The sequence below is a fragment of the Homo sapiens genome, chromosome 2 (assembly GCF_000001405.40).
Source record: "Homo sapiens chromosome 2, GRCh38.p14 Primary Assembly".
Taxonomy (NCBI): domain Eukaryota; kingdom Metazoa; phylum Chordata; class Mammalia; order Primates; family Hominidae; genus Homo; species Homo sapiens.
Genome location: NC_000002.12, coordinates 193,865,535 through 193,869,148, shown reverse-complemented (window position 1 = coordinate 193,869,148; position 3,614 = coordinate 193,865,535). Strand labels below are relative to the sequence as shown.

General features: G+C 44.3%; 1 annotated feature.

Moving 5' to 3' along the window:
* Nucleotides 861-1,360: an enhancer, noted in NCBI's record as "H3K4me1 hESC enhancer chr2:194732513-194733012 (GRCh37/hg19 assembly coordinates)". NCBI's record gives its function as "activates a minimal SCP1, AML or CMV promoter by ChIP-STARR-seq in naive H9 embryonic stem cells {active_cell/tissue: H9 hESC(naive)}" and the evidence as "EXISTENCE:reporter gene assay evidence [ECO:0000049][PMID:30033119]".

Here is a 3,614-nt window from a genome sequence, read left to right as displayed (position 1 = left end):
TATTTCACCAGCCAGAAACCTCTGTGGCTGGCAGTGCCTTCTGCCTGAATATTGCTCACGCTCACTGGGATTTTCCTGCCCACTCGACTCAGCAGGCTGCACTTGGCTCACACTGTTGGCCCAGCTCCCACGCCTGCCAACAGCGAGTCAGGCATGGAGCAGTGAGGGAAGTGTGCATGAGTAAGCGCGGGTTCAGCCACTATGCACAGCCAGGCACACTGGTTGCTGTGGTGGGGCGGGCAGCTACAGGCCCCAGCACAGATGCCAGCTCCATGCAAGGCTGTGGCTGGACCAGATGTACTGCATGCGGCTTTCACTGTGGGCACTCGCATCTGGACTAGGGGAACGTAGTGGAACCTAGAAGCTTGGAGACACAAGTAATTGCAGAGCCCAAAGAGGGTGTCACAACCCTGGCTTGGGGAGTCCCTGTGCCTGGCCTCCCGAAGGGCTGCAGCTATTCTCTCCTTCTTGTCATCCACAACATGGCAAGCAGAGTGGTGTGTTTCAGCCCTGCTTGTTTACCACTCTTTCAATCCCACCATTCATCCTGTCCCAAGTTCTTGTTCCACATCAATGAGGAATGAGGTACGCAGACAACTGGAGGGTGAGCAAGGCACAGAGGAGCTTCGGTGAGGGACAGAACAGCTCTCAGGAGACCCAAAGTGGGTAACTCCTTTCCACAGTCAGGTCGTCCTGTTAAGTATCCAGGTCTCTGCAGTGAGGAGACCTAGAGTGGGTATCTCCTTTCTGCAGGACACTCATCTGGAAGAACTGAGGAGACCCAAAGTGGGGAGCTCCTTCCCGCAGATGGTGAGTCTGGCTGAGTCCGGGGATGTTATGGGCTCAGAAAGGAGAAAGTGCATGCTGATTGGTCTATGGGCAGCCATGGGTGGACCTGGAAAAGGCACCATAAGTTCTCACTTCAGGCTGCAGACTCCACCCAGAACTGGCAGCCCACCTCTCAGGCTTCAGTCTGTCCCTGGCTCGAAGGTGGGGTTTCACCAGGGACCCTCCCCTTTCTGCCCAGGAATCTGTCTGCCTCCTGCCATTAACATGCCATCCATGACACCCAGGCTGTTCGTGCAGAGGAGCACCTACAGGCCAGTGTTGATCTACCCTTAGTGCCCATCAGCCTTCCTCATGTGCTCGTGGGTTCCCAAGTTCAGAGAAGGCTAAGGTGGAGGGGGGCTGGCATGTCAGAACCACCCTGAGTGTGCGGACACCTGGCTGGGTCATGTCAACACCTGGGCTTGGCCACAACTTTGTTCTGCACCAGAGCTGGTGCCGGGGGCAGGGAGCAGGGAGAGACTAGGGAGAGTGAGCAGGCAATTCCAAGCCTGTAGGAGTAGGGGGCACTTACCAGGTCCCCAAGAGCACAGAGATACCCAGGTTCCGGGACCACAGCTGAGTCCCTGCTGTTGCATGAAGAAACGTGGGGCTCCCGCCTGTCAACTCGGTAGGGGGTAGGGCTCTCACCTCTTCGGAACTCTTGCCAGATGCACAGAGCAAGCAGCCGCAGCAGTACCTTGCCTCCTGCAAGTGTCGTCATCACAGAGGCCACTCCAGACGGCTGCCACTGCCATCAGTGGGAGGTGACTGAATCATGGCGGCAGTTTTCCCCATGCTGTTCTTGTAATAGTGAGTTCTCACGAGATCTGGTGCTCTCAAGTTGTAGCACTCCCCGCATCCTGCTGCCATGTAAGATGTGCCTTACTGCTTCCTCTCTGCCTTCCACCATAATTGCAAGTTTCCTGAGGCCTTCCCAGCCATGCACAACTCTGAGTCAATTAAACCTCCTTGATTTATAAATTACTCAGTCTCAGGTAGTTCTTTAGAGGAAAACGAACTAATACAGAAAACAGAGATAAGAAAATATTTATGATATGCTCAAATATATACACACATAAGAAGAAAAGAGAAAATATATAAAGTTTCTAGAGCCCTGTTTTCTGTAATTGGTCTTAAGATTATAATTGTTATCTGTTACATCTTTCTTCCTCAGCCCAGAAAGAAGGTCCTTCAGACAAAACTTCACCTTTTCTTTTTTTTTTTTTCTTTTCTTTTTTTTTTAGGTGTGTTGACCCAAATCTCAATTCCTTAAGGTTCTGAGTCCTCAAATGTCCTACACAAAATGTGACCTTAACCATATAAAGTGGCAGTATTTTTAAGCGTTTAATTTATGACTTAGATCCAGGATCATCACCTCAATCTGAAAGTCATTTCTTCAAAAGTAACTGATAAAATAATCATGTATTTCTGCATGTCACTCTTGAGCCTTGTGCATTTCCAGTGAAACAGCCAACATATTTTTTTTTTTTACATTTTCTAAAAGAGCTGAAAACATATATCAGGACAAATTAAACTTTGCTTTGCTTCTCTTGCCATTTAAGAAAAGAACACTTAAGCTAAATAAAGAAATAAATAAAACAAAAATGTACAGATAATGTGGCAAGGTATTGTTTTTGAAATAGTTCCAGTTGGTATTTTTCCTTTGTCTAGCTCCTCATTGCCCAATGTAACACACACAGACACAGATACACAAAGATGCACACACACACACATGTTCACAGACTCACTAGAGCAGGTAGTGCATTCTTAATTATTTCAAATAATTATAGAGCAAAAAGGAAGCCCTTACTTTTCTTCCAGAAGTGTGTCAATTTCTGAAAATTATGTTAAATTCTTCAGAGAATAACAACATAAGCTAGAGAATGGGTCTGAGGAACAACATTAAGAACAAAAGCTAGGTAGACACATTGATTAAGAAAATAGAATTGAGAGTCTGGAAATAAAACTGTGTGTCAACCAACTTTTGACAAAGGTGCCAAGAGCATTCAATAGGGAAAAAGTGTCTTTTTAAGAAATAACACTGGGGCAATAGGAAAGCCACCTGCAAAAGAATGAAGTGAGATTATTACCTCACACTGTATCAAAAACTTAAAATGGTACAAAATCTAAATGTAAAATAAAAATTATAAAACTTATATACCAAAATATAAGGGTAGGGGTAAATCCCCACGAATTTGGATTTGTCAATGTATTCTTAGATATGACACCAAGTGGCATAAGTAACAAAAAATAAATATATTGAACTTCATCAAAATTAAACGTATCTGTGCTTCAGTGGAAAGTACTCGGAAAGTGAAACCATAACTTACAGAATTAAGAAAATATTTTCAATTATTTAGAGAGAGAAAAGTAATTGTTGCATAAGGTGGAATGGATATAGAGAAAAAGGAGCAATGGCTAAAGGGTATGGGTTTCTTTTGGAGGTGATGAAAATGTTGTACAGTTGACTGCTGTGATGGCAGGTTACATCTGAATACATTAAAATTATTGATTCATGCATGTTAAGTGGGCTCACAATATGGCATGTGGATTGTATGTCAATAAAGGTTTTTTTAAAAAAGAAAACAGATTTGTCATATAGAGAATGATCTTGTACCTCTTGCTAGCTACTTCTTGGTCTATAACATATTGGGAAAACAGGTGTGCAGTAAAATGGAGTAGAGTAGAGAGGTATGGTGAAAGTGAGGACTTACATTAAAGAGTAATAGCTCTATACAAGCTCTATATCTGATCAGCATCTGGAGTCATAGCAAATCAGAATGACA